We start from the raw sequence: 17494 nt of genomic DNA, 5'->3' as shown, positions 1-17494 counted from the left end.
ACTTTCTAGGTTCACCTTAACATGCAGACTTATAAGATTATCATAAACTTCATTTGGCACCAGAATCACTTCAGAAATACACAGATTAGAGTCACCAGCAAGGCAACATCAGCCTTTCCCCTTTAGGAAAATCTTCACAACTGTCCATGTAGCCGTCCACACTGCTGTCCTCCTGAGCCTCTCCTCCCCAAATCATCTCCAGTGCAAGGAAAGTGATCTACTTTAGGTAGGTTCAGAACTTACCCTGGCTTAAAAGCCTTGTGCCTCAAAGGAACCAATATCTCTAGTAACTCAATAGATCAATCTTTGATGTGTCAAGGAGCATGCTGAATCACAAGTTTCACTACAGTCACAGAAGTCCAATGATACAGCTTCCTACCAGGCATTTATCACTCTTCCAGCCCAGAAACAGTTGACCAATCAGCAGTCATTTATGCCATAATGTTGCCTAGTAACACAGTTAACATTTGACCTTTATCAGGTCTCCGGGGAAACCAAACTAGAAAACTGAGAAAGTCATAAAATCCAATTCTTCTGCAGAAAAGGAAGGGACCTGTGCCTTCCTTTCACTATGTGCCTCTTGCTCTTGCTGTTCCCTCTGCCTGGAAGCCTCCTTCCAGGACATCTGCCTGGCCTGCTCCTGGACGTCTTTTAATTCCTTGGCCAAAAGTCACCTTTCCAATGAGGCCTTCCCAGGCCATCCTATTTGAAGATTGCAGCTTCTATCTTACCTGCAGGAACCTTCTACCATCTTGGCATGCTTTATTTTTTCCCATTGCCTTTATCTTCTAACATATTTACTAATTGATTTTGCTTATTTTGCTTATTTTTCCCATAGAATTTAAAGTCCATAAAGCTGGGATTTTTGTCTTTTTTCTCCTTCGTTGATAATTCTTAGTAGAACAGTGCCTGATACGCAGTAGGTTCTTCAACAACTATTTCATTTATGAATGAATTTATGCCCCTTTTTTTAGACAATAACTTCTCACTGGCACCCTTTGTTGGAGGGGAGGGGGAAAGATATTTTCAGTGACCAAATAAAAGACAGCATGGTGTGAGGGACTAAGAGCAGGAACTTTGGAACCAAATCACCTGGATTGAATAAAGGCTTCAATACTCACCTTGGGAGGATCGTTAACCTCTCTGTGCCTCAGGTGTCTCATTTGTAAGTGAGGCTAGTAATAGAACCTATATATAAGAGTTGTCATGAGGATGACATTTGTTAAAATACATGTAAAGTGTTCAAAAGAGTTCCTGACACATAGGAAGCAGTATGTGTTCACTATTTTTAAGGCCAACTTTTAAAAGTACTTTATTTTCGCTCTGTACCACTTCTAGTGATTTCTCTTTCTCCCTATACCTTCTTTTCCAGCTGATCTACCCGAAAAATCACATCTACCCCATAGCTTCTATAATACGTTGATTTCCATTCAGTTTTCCAACCACTGACCTAAGATTTCTAATGACGTAGTTGCTACTTTCCTCTTCTTAGTCCATGAGTTAGTTGTGTTGGCTGCCATCATTGTCCATGGCTTCCTTTGGCTTCTGACCTATGCCTCTCTCCTGGTTTTCATCTGTCCTTATGGCTGCCCCTTCTCAGTCTTCTTCAAGGGCCCCACTTCCTTCTCCATTTACTCTTTAATGTTATTACTGACACTATCTTCCTCATCACATTCTCCCTGGATGAGTCCATTTGCAAGCATGGCTTCAGCTCTTATATCAACACCCTATATGTGCCAGTTCTACTGACAGTTTCCCAAAGATGTCATGTTCTTTCTCACATCCATGACTCAGAGCTTTCTTTTCTCCTCTTGGTGTCCTCTTACTTTCAGCTAAGGAGAGGTTCTTGACTAACTTTAGCTGGTTCTCCAAGTTTTAATTCAACCATCACCTTTTCTCTTATTCCCAAACCAAAATGAGGGTTTCTCTTCAGCATTCCCTTAGTGCCTTATGGACACCTCTATCAAAGTATAACACAAGTTATTTTGATTGCTAGTTTATTTATTTCTCCCCTAGAAATGAACTACTTATATGTATCCATGTCCTCAAAGTATGGTACCTGGAACATAGCAGCTATGTAAAAAATACCTGGATTCAATACATAAATACATGGCATCTACATAAATTTTTATTGGGTTCTTTTCAAATTCAGAACTAAACATTCAGTAAAATAATGATATCTCATCAAAATTTTAGTTCTTCCAGAAAATCTTATTAGGGGTAAGGGTAAAGGATGAATAAAAGCAAAAAGTTCCACTTTGGCAGTATCAATGGTGCTGGACATATGTTACATTTCACTGTGAAGCCAATTTGGAAAGATAAGGGGCCCCCTTTGATGTTAGTGACATCAGACATTACTTGACTACAGTCAATTGCTCTTTGGGCTCATTGAAATCTTTCAAGTACCATATTTACCGTATTAGGAAATCCCAGTAAATAGGTGTTTCAGGTTCTCTGCTATGATTACAAATACATCCACAGAGAACAGTGACTAATACTTACATGGTTAAAAATCACACAGCCAGCTCCCTAAAGAGGTTTCAATGACTTGTGCTTTGCTCTGGCCCCCATTTTGCCAGGGATCTAGGCACCTACCTGTAAAGTACATCCAAACACGCCGATCATGAGCATGGCTACTGAGAGGTAATCGGTAAACACATCCCACCATGGCTTCAGCACTCGGAAGGCAGGCTGCTGCTCAGAGAACTGCCGGAATTCTGTCACGGGAATCATGTTTCTGAGAAAGGAGAGATTACTTGTAAATCAATTTATCTTCCAGTACAACATACTGCATTGTTACCAAATGTGGCTCCAACTCCTCACAGCAGAGGTCTGAATTAGTTCAAGAGCTGTCAAGACACATCAATGTTTTGATGAGCCACTGAATAAAATCACCAGTTGAGGAAATAAGGAGACCCACATGGAAAAGGCAAGTACTTGCCTTTTCTTGTCCAATGACAAGGTTCCCTTTGTGCTCCAGGTGGGACAGAAAGAACATGGCCAGACACTTTCCAAGTCCCAGTTATTTCCTGGACCCTCATTTCTCTTAAACAGAACATGAAGATGCCAGAAAGACTAGAGCTCATCCTTTGAAATGTTTTTGCTGTTTATCTTACCATCTTGGGTTATTGCTTTAAGCTTTTTTTTTTTTTTTGCTTTAAACCATTTTTAAGTGTAATTTTAGCATTCTTTTGTGCTAATTCTTTACTGAGCCCTATTTATAAAGCATTTTGCTTGTTCCATGGGAAAGGAAAACAGTGTTTCCACGTGGTCCTTGTCTTTTAAGAAGAAAGGTCTTATTGATGGTGGTGGATTGAGGAGGCCTCAATTTTTCTTCCTTGTTTCCTTTTTGTCTCTATGCTTGTATCTTGATTTTTTTCTCTGTTTCCTGTACTTCTCACATTTCACTGTGAACCCCAAACTTATCCTAATTTTCTCCGCTGAGACAACAGTTCAGTCTGGAAACTCCTATCTTTAACCAAATGACAGAAGATAAATGAATAGGGTGCACCCACGGCTCTGGGAAAAGGGAAAAAGAGGTACATTCTTTTCTTGATGTGCCTCCTCCTTTCTTACTCATTCTTACTGCCTTTAGTGTGACCCAGGACTTGAGGTTAATCATCCTGCTACTGTGAGGAGAAATATTCTTTCTGTATCTTATGGCAATCATCCTCCTACTGTGAGAAGAAATATCCTTTCTTTATCTTATGGCAAGGAATAAGGGTGGCCAAGGAGGGCCAAAAACATTTCACCTTCCTTCCCTAATACTGAATTAAGAACTAGATAGACAATGGCCGGGCGCGGTGGCTCACGCCTGTAATCCCAGCACTTTGGGAGGCCGAGGCGGGTGGATCATGAGGTCAGGAGATCAAGACCATCCTGGCTAACGTGAAACCCCGTCTCTACTAAAAATACAAAAAATTAGCCGGGCGCGGTGGCGGGCGCCTGTAGTCCCAGCTACTCGGGAGGCTGAGGCAGGAGAATGGCGTGAACCCGGGAAGCGGAGCTTGCAGTGAGCCGAGATTGCGCCACTGCAGTCCGCAGTCCGGCCTGCTGGGCGACAGAGTGAGACTCCGTCTCAAAAAAAAAAAAAAAAAAAAAAAAAGAACTAGATAGACAATAAACATCCCACATAAAAGCAAAGCCTCTTCTTTGATTACAGCTTTGGCAACAATTACAATGTTATCTATTCCGTCTTGCTGCATTGTGACTTTCTTATACAATAATTTGTCTTCTTTTTGAATCTGTTAACACAGTGTTGAAAATTTCAACGGCCTGGCGATGTTCTCCTCTCTGACCTACCTACTTGACATCTATGCAGAATACAATTTCCTCATTTTACTGAAACACAACTTTTCTTAACTTTTTTCTGTTACCACCCACTAGGCTACAAGTTTCTTCAGGGTAGAATCTACATGTTCTGCCTATGTGTCTCCTTAAAACATGTATTGCAGGCAAACTGCACAAAAGCTCAATACATTACTTTGTATATTTCTAGTGTGATTAAAATTTCAGACTAGTCCAAACTTTGATTTTCCTGACACTTTATGGCCTCTTTTTTTCTCAGTAAATTATTACAGTCCCACTGCCCCAAATGTTTGATAGTCACAGTTGTCTCAGTGGCAATAACAGATGGCACAAATTCATCTTGACTTCCAAGTTCCACTTCAGAAGGTACTGTCTTACTCTATTTTGCATCCCCATTACTTGCCATACTGCCTGAAAAACAAGAAGCTCGTAACAACTGTCTGTTGAATAAATTCTGATGCTTATTCGTGAAGCAATGCTCATCCAACTCAGATTTGGGGTGATCCTAATCAGCTGCAGCGGCAGGGATAATTAGCAAACAACCTGTGTTATAGTCTATTGTTCCTTGATAGATTTGGTTGTTGTCTCCTCCATAGGTTTCTTTACATCGTAGAGGAAATTGGACTTATTTATAAAAGTGAGCAACAATTTCAGAAATAAAATGCACCAATATAGAGCAGTGGCTCTCTAACTTTTTGGTCTCAGGAACCCCTCATGCTCTAAAACAATGAGGAGAACCCTGAAGTATTTACATGGGTTACATCTATACATATTTACCATACTAGAAGTGAAAAACCAATAAATGTAATATATATATAATTTATTAAAAAGTAAACTCATCCATCAAGATACATCATTATGAAAAATAACCATATTTTCCAAAACAAAATTAGTAGAACAATGAAATTGTTCTAAATTTTTGCAAATCCCTTTAATGCCTGGCTTAATATAAAAGCCAGCTGAATAGAAGATATATCTGCTTCTGCAATCTATTATGATATAATATGTTGTTTTGCCTGAAATTTCAATCTATTGTGATATGATATGTTGTTTTGTCTGAAATGTATGGACCAAACATGGCCTCACAAAGACATGTGGTTGGAAAAGGGACGAGTATCCTTTTTATATCATTGTAGATATTTATTTTTGATACTATACTAAACCTTGACTAACTTAGTTGTGATATGGAAACTGGAAACTCTATCAAACAACTTTTTAAACTTCATTATATTAAAATTAATTAGTGGCCAGGCTCAGTGGCTCACCTGTAATCCCAGCACTTTGAGAGGCCAAGGTTGGTGGATCATGAGGTCAGGAGATCAAGACCATCCTGGCCAACATGGTGAAACCCCAACTCTACTAAAAATACAAAAATTAGCTGGGCGTGGTGGCATGCACTTGTAATCCCAGCTACTTGGGAGGCTGAGGCAGGAGAATCGCTTCAACTTGGGAGGCGAAGGTTGCAGTGAGCCGAGATCGCACCACTGCACTCCAGCCTGGTGGAGAGCGAGACTCCATCTTAAAAAAAAAAAAAAATTAGTCTATCTTGTACTTTGAATGGATCTTTTTACACATGCATGATTTTGTAACATATGCATGATTTTGTAACGCATGATTTTGTAACATCATGCATTGGTAATTTGGAAAACATTGGATCACTGAGTTATCCAGACCTTCCAAATGTTGACACATTTCATCCTAATAAAATATTAAGACACATTTTAGTAATAATATTTAAAAATCACATTCATTAATATCACCACTGCTATCATCAGAAAAATGTTTAAGTCTTGGGAAGCTGTCAAGCTCATGGTGGTGATCACAAGTTTTCCAAAATTCTAATTATCACTTGAAAGTTTGAATTTTATTGCTGTCAACAAATACTTTAGTTGTTCTCCCTGAAGTGTCAGGATCACTTCATTCATTTTGAGGATATATATGCCACATACTCAAGTCTCAATAATCAGTTGTTTTATTCAAGTAAAAGTAGTATGATGTGATAAAGTAGCTCATTCTACTTTCAACTCCATTACACAAGAGCTTTCTCTTCAGACAACCATTGTACTTTGGAATGCAGCAGAAGTGCTTTGTGTATTCTTCCCATTTCATCACATAGTGTATTAATAAAACATGCAGTCAAAGGTTGAAAGTTATTAAAACAGTAATTTTTACTGCCTCAATAAGAACAGCAAGTGAACCTGGTTTTTTAATTTCAAGTGTGTACCAGTGAAGAACACAATCCCTTCAGCACAGTCTAGTGCCTCTATCTTGAGTAATGTGAAGGTGCCTTACTAACCATGGTTTTTGCACCATCAGTGAAATAGGCAAAAAACATCTTAGCATTACAAAACAGTTTTGACTTCATGGGGTCCCTTAAAAAGGTCTAGGTTGCCAGGCTTCCATGAACCATACTTTGAGAACCGAGGTAGAGGGTCACTGTTCCTTTATCTAAGTCTTCCTTTGAAAAAACAAAGACCTGAATACTCACAACAGGTGAGGTTCTCTGGGTCCTTGTCTGAGTTGCTTCACAGACCTCATGCTTTTAATATGGGAAATAAAGTCAAACTAAGGCATCTAAGAAATATAAGTATTATCTACTGCTTCTTAATATTGGCACAGTCTAGATAAGATAGAATATAAGACTTGATAGGGAATCAGCTGGTCAAGATGGCAAAGTTTAGTGCTACAACACAACTATTATTGCATTTAAATTCTTTTTTTTGAGACAGAGTCTCGCTCTGTCGCCCAGGCTGGAGTGCAATGGCGCGATCTCGGCTCACTGCAAGCTCCGCCTCCCGGGTTCACGCCATTTTCCTGCCTCAGCCTCCTGAGCAGCTGGGACTGCAGGCGCCTGCCACCACGCCTGGCTAATTTTTTGTATTTTTAGTAGAAATGAGGTTTCACCGTGTTAGCCAGGATGGTCTCGATCTCCTGACCTCGTGATCTGCTCACCTCGGCCTCCCAAAGTGCTGGGATTACAGGCGTGCCCAGCCGCATTTAAATTTTTTTGAGTAAATGCGTATGTGCATGTATGTCTACATGTCTACATATGTACATGTATCCTACATATAAATATATATACAGATTGATATGGTTTGGCTGTGTCCCCACACAAATCTCATGTGAACTGTAGCTCCCATAATCCCCCTGTGTCATCGGAGGGACCTGGTGGGAGGTAATTAAATCATGGGGGCAGGTTTTTCCCATGCTGTTCTCATGAAAGTGAATGTCTCATGAGATCTGGTGGTTTTATAAAGGGCAGTTCTCCTGCACACACTCTCTTGCCTGCCACCATGTAAGATGTGCCTTTGCCCCTCCTTCACCTTCCACCATGATTGTGAGGCCATGTGGAACTGTGAGTCCATTAAACCTTTTTCTTTATAAATGACCCAGTCTCAGGCATGTCTTTATTAGCAGCGTGAGGACAGACTAATACACAGATGTACCAGATTTTATTGAATTAACATATTACAAGGCCCCAAACCAATATCTAACACAGCATTAATCCTTAATGTTTTTGATGCAAAAAGGTGAGTAAGGGAAGACTTGAATAAAAAACTACAAATCTAAAGAGAAGGTAGATAGACCTTTTGCTTGCTCAATGAAAACTTTTTTTGTACTTCTCTTTCACAACTTTCAGTTCCTCTGAAAAAGTGACAGCCACACTTGATCAATTGCTCTTTCATTGCTGCTGTCATTTCTAAGTGATTTGCGACAATTTCAAGAGTTATCATTTCAAGCTAAGGGAGCCACTTCTGAATAAACTACTGGGTTTAAATAGGGAGATAAAGATCAATCAGCATAATTTTATTTCTAGTTAAACATTTTTCTATTTTATATTTCCTCCAACCTTGATTTTCAACTTGCTACAAAGGATTTTAATTTATCTTATTAGTAATGTCTTTGGAAGTGTAATATTTTTAATTAAATCAAGAGATTCTGGTATCCTAATTTTAAAAATGAAAATTATTACATCTCTGCTTCGGTAACCTTTTGCAGACATTCAGATTCATTTCCTTATTTAAAATACTTATTGTAGGCTGGGTGCAGTGGCTCATGCCTGTAATCCCAGCATTTTGGGAGGCCGAGGTGGGTGGATCACTTGAGATCAGAGGTTTAAGACCAGCCTGGCCAACATGGTAAAATCCCATCTCTACTAAAAATACAAAACTTAGCCAGATGTGGTGGTGTGTACCTATAATCACAGCTACTCATGTGGCTGAGGCAGAAGAATTGCTTGAACCCGGGAGTCAGAGGTTGCAGCGAGCTGGGATCATACTACTGCACTCCAGCCTGGGAGACAGAGTGAGGCTCCATCTCAAAACAGAAAAAAAAAAAAAAAAAAAAAAGCATGAAAGCATGAAACACCTGGCACTTATCAACTACCAATTCAAATATCCTGTGGCCATCTCCAGACCAGAAAAAAAAAAAACTATTACAAAAAACTATTTTAGTAGATCCATATTCCACATAACTTTACTTCTCAAAGATATATATTTTGGTAAAGAATATTGGTAAAGTTGGCCGGGCACGGTGGCTCACGCCTGTAATCCCAGCACTTTGGGAGGCCGAGGTGGGCGGATCACAAGGTCAGGAGATCGAGACCATCCTGGCTAACACGGTGAAACCCCGTCTCTACTAAAAATACAAAAAATTAGCCGGGCGTAGTGGTGAGTACCTGTAGTCCCAGCTACTCGGGAGGCTGAGACAGGAGAATGGTGTGAACCCAGGAGGTGGAGCTTGCAGTGAGCTGAGATTGCGCCACTGCATTCCATCCAGCCTGGGTGACAGAGCGAGACTCCATCTCAAAAAAAAAAAAAAGAATATTGGTAAAGTTAGGTACAAACATAGAGTTTATTTTATTTATATGGCTCTTCCTAAAATAATATGTTCCCATCCTCCTCCCCAGGATAATTTTTGTGTTTCTTGCCTAGAATTAATATCCCAGAATGTATTCTGCTCTATTTATCAATCCATGACCTAAAGAATATGAAACTTATTCTAGTGTGATTCCAACACGATTGCTAACACTGTTTTGTGGCTATCAGGTGGGTAGAGTTAACATTTGTTTTATTCCACATTTTTCTGACAGTGGGTAAATAGTATCACCTTTAGCACAATCATATATCATTCAAGAAAACAAGAACCAATTTCAAATGATGGTAGGTAGCCTGTCAGTAACCCAGTGAATGGCCCTGATCAAAACGAATACAAAACAATTTAATAGTTCCTGAGCACATGAAATAGGAATTCAACAGAAAAGAAACCCATGTGTATTGCTCATCTATGTTGTTAAATCCAATGGTCAGTTCTAATTCCTTATCTTTTCTTTTGTTGTTTTTTTGGAGACAGGGTCTGGCTCTGTCACCCTGGCTGGAGTGCAGTGGCGTGATCTTGGCTCACTGTAATCTCCACCTCCCGAGTTCAAGTGATTCTCATGTCTCAGCCTCCTGGGTAGCTGGGACTACAGGTATGTACCACCACGCCCGGCTAATTTTTGTATTTTAAGTAGAGAAGGGGTTTCACCATGTTGGCCAGGCTGGTCTCAAACTCCTAGTCTCAAGTGATCCACCCACCTTGGCCTCCCAAACTGCTGGGATTACAGGCATGAGCCACTGCACCTAGCCTTTCATTCCTCATCTTATTTATGAGCAGCACTTCATGTAATTTGACCATTTCTCCCTTGGCTTTTAAAGGACACCACAGCCTTTTGGTTTTCCTTCTACTTCCCTGGCTATTCCTTTGTTGTTTCCTCCTCTTCTCCCCGACCCCCTTGTTTGGAACATCCCAATGCTTACTCTTAGGTCCTCTTGTCTTCCCTAATGCATTCACTCCCCTTGTGATTGCATCTGGCCTCAATGTTTCAATACCAACTATACTTGACGCTTCACAAATTCATATCTCCATCCAGACTCAGAGTTCCCACTACGTACTCGACATCTCCTCTTGGATATCCACTAGACACATCAAACTTGGCCTGTCCAAAACCTACTCCTGTCCCAGTCCCCTATTCCCCATCCCCACAGCAAACCCTTCTCCACTTACAGCTTTCCTATTCAGTAAATAGCAAGTCTATCTTTCCAGTTGCTTAGGCCACAAATCTTGGAGTCATCCTTGACTCCTGTCTCATAAAATCACGTGCAGTCTGTCAAAAAACCCTCATTTATTGTGTTTCTTCCTTTCGTTTTTTTTTTTTTTTAGACAGAATTTCTCCCTTGTTGCCCAGGCTGGAGTGCAATGGCGCGATCTTGGCTCACTGCAATATCTGCCTCCCAGGTTCATGCGATTCTCCTGCCTCAGTCTCCCGAGTAGCTGGGATTACAGGTATGCACCACCATGCCCAGCTAATTTTGTATTTTTAGTAGAGACGGGGTTTCTCCATGATGGTCAGGCTGGTCTTGAACTCCTGACCTCAGGTGATCCACCGGCCTTGGCCTCCCAAAGTACTGGGATTAGAGGCAGGGGCCACCATGCCCGGCCTTGTGTTTCTTGATGTATTGCATCTCTACTTCCACAAGAATGCAAGTTTCATGATGGCAGAACTTAATTTTTCAGTTCTATTGTGTTCATCGATGTGTTACAAGTACCTAGAAAATAATGCCTGGCATGTATTAGATACTCAACTAATGTTTGATGAATAAATGGGTGAATACATAGTAATTTTAGTTAAGAAAGTGGGATATAATTGCTTTTGCAATTTTTATTACTGAAGCTAAAAGCAAAGTATATGTCTGACACTGTCATGGTAGGAAGATCCCACACACAGGGCCAGGACATTAGCATAGCTAAAGCCAGTGTGAACAAGGGCAAAAGAGGTAACGAACAGAAATGCCATGATTTTAAATTTATGAGTTCTTTTCAGTTGTACCCAAAGTCTCCACAAATCAAAAAGTCATCAGAATATGCTGAAAACATCAGTTGTAAAACAAATTGCTTTTCTTTTGGCAGTGAAAAGATGGAAATAAAAAGCAGGAGCAAAAAGGCAAAATTTCCCAATTACATAAAAATTATACCTTTCTCCCTTGGGAGAGCATGACTGTAGATTGTGTTTTATTGTACAGTTTTGGCATTCATGACAAAATATTTCTGGAAAAATCCACTGAAGCAGAACATAATTATATGGTTCTGTAGAAATGTATTTAATTAAATGAGAAAAGCATAAATGGGTTATAAAATTTTAGGACCTGAAAAAGGTCAAAGAGATCATCCAGTCCAGACCCCTTACTTTATGGGTGAAAATCCTGAGCCAAGAGAGATTAGGTGACTTGCCCAAGGAACACAGCTAATGGTGAACTATAACTTTTAACCAAATCTTTTTCTTTCCATCTAGAGCTCTTTGCTAATACCACATGATGCTGACTGTAACTGAAAGAAGTTAAACTGTGCTAAGAAACAAAGAGTTTAAATAGAACTTTTCCTGTACTCAAATTTCTCTTTTCATGTTTCTTATTTGACAATATAAAAGAAAAAATAAACGAACATTAACACATTTAAATGATTCTTAAGCTATACTGTCCTCATAGCATCATAAAATGATAGAACTTTTGACTCAAAGGAATCTTAAGAGGTAAGCGGAACTTGCAACCCAATGAATACTTCCATCTTTTCCTTGGATATCTCCATGATATTGTATGTTCAATTAATGGACCAATTACATTATTTGGAAAGTCTTCAAGTTGAGCTTAACCTATTTTTCTAAGGGTGTTGGTGGGTGTGGCAAAAGTACTTCTACCTAGCAATTTTAGTTCTCTCAAACAATGACGATATTATTCGTTTCTGATTATGCTCTTCACATATTTAAAGAAAAATCCTTTTAATTGTGTGTGCTTCAGGCTGTACATTTCAAGGCTTTTGCTTTACATGACAGTTTCCACAGTTACCTATATTATTGTAGCCACAGGCCTTTGAATTCACTAAAAATCTATGATCAGTAGCTGCTTTTTCCCTCTCACAAGCATAATTCACTTTCATTCACTCATGTGCTTACTATAAATTATGAGAGGGAATTGTATGTCAGGCTCTGTGCTAGGTGCTGAGAGAATCCCTCACCCACATATACACTCACGGGAGAATATTCATTGAAGAAATTCTTATAAAAATATGAATTGAAACTCCTTTGTAAATGGGGTTGATTATTGTTTCCTGTGCCAATGGTGCATTTAAAGACGTTGTTACAGTATTTTTATTTTACCAAGGATAGAATTTATATCTCATCTCTGTATCTTCAAGAAAGTAGCACAGTGTCTTAGAAGCAGCCCTCAATACAAATTGGTTACACTAAAATCGACTTATCCATGCTTATCACCCACACAGATAAAGACACACCCAATCGAGCATTTTGTAGTAAGGACCAACTCTTTCATTACGTTATTATCCCCTTAGATAGACCCTGACATTGCAATAAATAAGAGAGAGACTATTACCAAATAGCTCCTTGTTGTAAATAATGATTATTCAAAGAACATCCACTACTGAAGAGAATGTTTGAGATGAGGAAAGAAGTCAGGAATAATTTATAATTTCAAAGTTAAATATCATTGAATTTTTAATGCACAATGTTCTGTCACTACTGCTAAACAGGATGTGTTGATCAGTAATGTCTTCTGAGGTCTTAGCTTGTACCCAAGAAAATGGCCAAATGTTGTGACTACCTTGTCAGAACATGAACCTATTAAGAAACAGGTGATAGAAAACAAATCTAAACATTAAAGTATTATTAACAAAATAATGGTTTGGAATATTGCTTTTCTAAATCTCACTGAGATCTTAAAAGAAAGCTTTAATTTCTTTGGGATTTTTGTCAAATAGTTTCAGCTATATGTATATGATACTAATAATTATTTAATGCCTATTCCGCACAATTCAAGTACATTTAAATTCAGAAATCCTTACTGAAATGAGGCTAAGCTGAGATCTAATAGTCCTTCAAAAACTGTTCATAAACGATTATCCTCAAATGTCAGTCATTTCTTTCCATATATCTATTATTCTGAGTATACCTATAGTCTCTCTCAGAAATGGCTCAGCTCTCTGCATCTTACTGGCCTTCTTAGTCACCTCTTCACTCCAGTTTCTTTTTTTTCTTTTCTGTCTCCTTTAAACTAGAAACACTCTTCCATGAGGTAGCGTGGATACACACCTCCTCCCAATCCCAATCGGATTCTAAACCCTTGAAAAGGCTGTGTGTTTCTCCTTGAACTCTCAATATCATTGGCTGTGGTTAAGGCCAGGTTTTCAATCACCTTATCAGTCTCAACATCCAAAAGCTAAGTCAAATTCAACTGGGGAAATCTGTAATGATTGGTTTGAAGATCATTGATCTCTTCCTTCAATGTACAGAAAGAGACTGAGGTTTACCTCCAATCCAGTTTTACCCCTTGAACAAAGAGGGCACAGGGTTCTAAGCAGCAGGCACACCATGAACACACAGCGCAGCCCAGAAAACCCAGGCATGACAGGAGCTGGCAAAGCCATGTGCGGGGAATGCTGCTTTCTTTCTGATGAAGGGCAGCAAGGAGAGGAGGGTGCGGAAGGCAAGAAGACTCCTGCCCTCAAGAGCATTAAAACTAAAGTTTCTTGTTTATTTTGTAACTTCTGGAATTTACAGTTTTCTGAAAAGGCAAGGGGTCACCTTTTATTTTATATTCCTTGCTCTGGGGCCTAGAATACTCAAAAAAAGGTTTTTTGTTTTTGTTTTTGTTTTTTTGTTTTTTTGAGTTGAACTCTTAATGATTTCATAGGGAGAAAGTTGTCTTTTCTGTTCTGACAAGAAATGTAGCTTGTTTTTCAAATACCTTTCCATAAAAATAGATGGTAGACTGGTACTTATACAAACTGTCAACCAAAAAGTGTGACAAGGAAGCTAAAGCAACTTTTTGTCAAACACTTTTTCACTTGTTTTTGTTTTTGTTAAATAGGGGTAAAATTTAAAATTTCCAGCTAGGTTAAACATAAAAAACTAGGAAACAAAGTAACACTGCACAGAAACCAAGAGACTGATGTTTAAAGTGAGAGACTGAAAGACTAATGGGTTTAGAGTATGATCATTTTTATCTTCCTTTTCAGTTAAGCTAATCTTTACAGGAATCTACCTTTAAAATGTACCATCTAGAATCAGGGACCATGAAAGTTTGATAATTGCAGAAAAACACTAACGGTTGACTAATTATCTTTGGAGCTTTTCAAGAAGGCTGCCCTCCATCTCATGCCAGCTGTTGATTGGTCTTTCCTGTTGGATGAGCTCAGTAAAGTTTGTGATGGAAGGAAAAATTTCAGGTCCTCCAGCCTCCAGGAAAAATGGCCCTTCAGGAGCATTAAAACTGATAAGAATGTACCTAAAAATCAGAATGTTAGGTTTTGTCTGTCCAGCTAATGAATATTTAATGCAAGGCTTTGTATCTAAAGGAGAAATAATTGCTGGGTTTGGCTCTATATTTAACATACTGATTTAATGGCCATCTTTTCCAAGTTAGACATTTTATGAGTTCCCTCTTCTAAGTTTTCTTTATTCACAGCAGAGCTAAATATCTAATGCAAACACATTTGATGCTCATAGAGTCACACATTCTAGAAGCTGAGAAAGGGCATGAAAAGTTTCTTTATAGGAAGGCTCTAGGTGGAAATAGCCAAATGTTACTGGTCTCTCAAATCTACATTGTGCCGAACATCTATACGAAAAATATTCTCGGAAAATATGAATCATTTAATTAAAATACATTGTTTCTGAAGATAGATATGTTCTTTAATTTAAAAAGATAAAAAACCTATCCTCCCTCAAAAAGAAATAGTGAAACTAGGTAACATACATTGCATGATAGCAAAGGCCAACAGTCTATGTAGATCCTGAAAAGTCATCACAAAGAAGACATAAATAATAGTGGCAGGGGCCTTTTGGTACTAATCCTACAACTGGAACGTTCTTTCAATACCCACCCACCTTGCTTTGTTAACTCCTATGCATACCGCAGACCCAGGTTCTAGCACCACTTGCTCAGGGAAGCTGTCCCCAATCTCTCTGACTCCGTCACATCCAGAGTTTCAGGCTCTCATTGAGGATACCCCCTGATGACCTCTGTCAGAGAGTACTTTCCATTCATTTGTGCTCTTGGATTTACATTGGTCTTCCCTAGGCTATAAGGTCCATGAAGGCAGAAATAATTTGTTTTGTTCACCACTGTTTTCCCAACACTTCACAGTATTTGGCATATAGTAGGTGCTCAATATATATTTATTGGGTAAATAGATGAGCAATTAAAAAGAAAGTTACAAGAATGGTCTAAGTGTAATATCTTGGATTTATTAATTTGCATCCTATGTCAGAAAAAAAAGTAGAGGAAGAAATATAAAGCTCATCAGCTAACTTGGAACAAGACCAAAAACAGTGCCATCTTCATTGACAAACGGTACAGTATTTTGAAATCACTTGGAGTTGCTATTATTAGTAAGAAAGCTGGCTTGGAGCCAGATGAGGTCTTCCTGAGAAAACCATCTCAAAGATATCTAGACCTTGCAGATATATTTTTTTAAACGGTTGAAAACCTATGGAAGTCTAGTAATGTATCAACTTGCAAGGTGACATCTAAAGCTGATTTCAGAACTGATTTTTCTCAGCAACTTCATCAGGAGGATTAAAAAGGCGGATTGCGGGTGCTTGAAAAGAGCAAAACTGGCTCAAAAGTTGTTAAATTGGGAGGTTTAAATATATTAATCACAAATGCTAAAAAATAAAAAATAGCATAGAAAGGTCATAGGAATTCAATTAAAACTTTAGACAAGTAGAAAAAAGTATGGAAGAAAGAAGAAAAAACACTTTTAAAAGTCCAACACTTCAAAGAAGAGAGATCTTTGGAAGTTCTGAAGAAGGACTTAGGAATGAAGTAGATGATGTTTTGGGCAGTGGAAAGTAGGCTTAGGGCCAAGGGAAAGGACAGGGTTTATGAAACAACTGTGGGGATGTTTGTTTTTACTTGTTCTTGTAATGTTTGATCTTCTTTTCCAATGACCCATCTTAAAAACTTAACACAGCCTAATGTTTTAGAAACCTAAAACATTAGGTAACACAGATATAAATTAAAATTGTTTCTATAAAAATAAATAAATAAATAAATAAATAAATATCCAGTCAACGAAGAAATGGAAATTGGTGGAAAGATAAGTTGGTTCATTTCTATTCCACATCCTTGGACACAAGCACGGCCAGTCTTGGGATTATCGTGAGAAAGACATGGGATGTAGGGGAATGGGGGTGGAGAAAGTTCTAGGATCTTAATGTATCCTTGGTCTTTCTGTTTCTAGAGGCTGAATAGATTATCAATGGAGATAGCTACTGGAGTACAACGTTTCCAAAGGACAGATGCGGTGTCTTTGAAAGCTTTATATTCCTAGCACTTACCACGATGCCTGGAACTTTATTTATTCTTTCTATAAGTATTAGAATAGCTCTATCTGCAAGGTATTGAGCTCGTTAATGTGAATAAAGTGATGAGTAAGAGAGACATAATCCCCGTCTTCATGAATCATGCATTATGGTGGAAAGACAGACAGTAAACAATGACACACAACCATTTAATCACAATTGTGACAAGCATGATGAAGTAGAAGTGTAGGTCACTCTGACAGTATATGTTAGGACCTGAACTACTGGGGGTTTAGGAAGTGATGCTTGCATGGAAGTATGAAGTATAGTATAAGTAGTAACAGTTAGCTAGGTAAAATTGGAGGCCAAGGCCAGGAGAACATTTCAGACAGAGTGAAGGGTCTGCAACGTAATGGCTTTTTTTGTTGTTTGTTTTTCCCCTCTTAAAATGTTTCATTTTGCTATCCATTACTCATAAATGTTTTGTTTCTGTTTATTTTGAATAAGGTTGGGCCCTGTCATTTTCTATCTGTAGAGACATAAGGATAGGGGTAGCCTGAGCCAGTCCAGATGATCTGAGACAAGGAGGGCAACACATGACATGCTCTTAGATGGAACTGGCAAAAAGTCACAAGACTCATTCACCAAAAGTTGTTTTGTACGGTATGTGTGAAAATCTACCCATGCTTTCTGCAGATTCATGTAAAGCTTCACAGCTTCACCTTGCATGTGGCTGTTAAATGGAGAAAACTGCCTTCTAGAACATGCAAACTGACTCTGACCTATACTTGGTCATCCTCCACACAATGCCTCCACATTAATTCAGCGTAA

General features: G+C 38.7%; 1 protein-coding gene across 6 annotated transcripts in view; it reads right to left on the bottom strand.

Annotated features, from left to right (window-relative positions):
• Positions 1-17494, bottom strand: part of LRRC8C (leucine rich repeat containing 8 VRAC subunit C) — a 103710-nt gene that overhangs the window by 30327 nt on the left and 55889 nt on the right. For 4 of the 6 annotated variants that reach the window (XM_011542282.3, NM_032270.5, XM_006710960.5 and 1 more), the window contains exon 2: positions 2596-2737. The exons of 1 other annotated variant lie outside the window; for it this stretch is intronic. In XM_011542282.3, the coding sequence (XP_011540584.1) occupies positions 2596-2733 (138 nt within the window). In that variant the 5' untranslated portion in view covers positions 2734-2737. Of the gene's footprint in view, positions 1-243; positions 2561-2595; positions 2738-17494 lie in introns of those variants that run through there. One more of the 6 variants, XM_047432041.1, reaches the window with a different exon arrangement.

This window comes from Homo sapiens, chromosome 1, assembly GCF_000001405.40.
Source record: "Homo sapiens chromosome 1, GRCh38.p14 Primary Assembly".
NCBI lineage: Eukaryota > Metazoa > Chordata > Mammalia > Primates > Hominidae > Homo > Homo sapiens.
The sequence above is the reverse complement of the archived record's forward strand: the minus strand, read 5'-3'. Positions and strand labels throughout refer to the sequence as shown.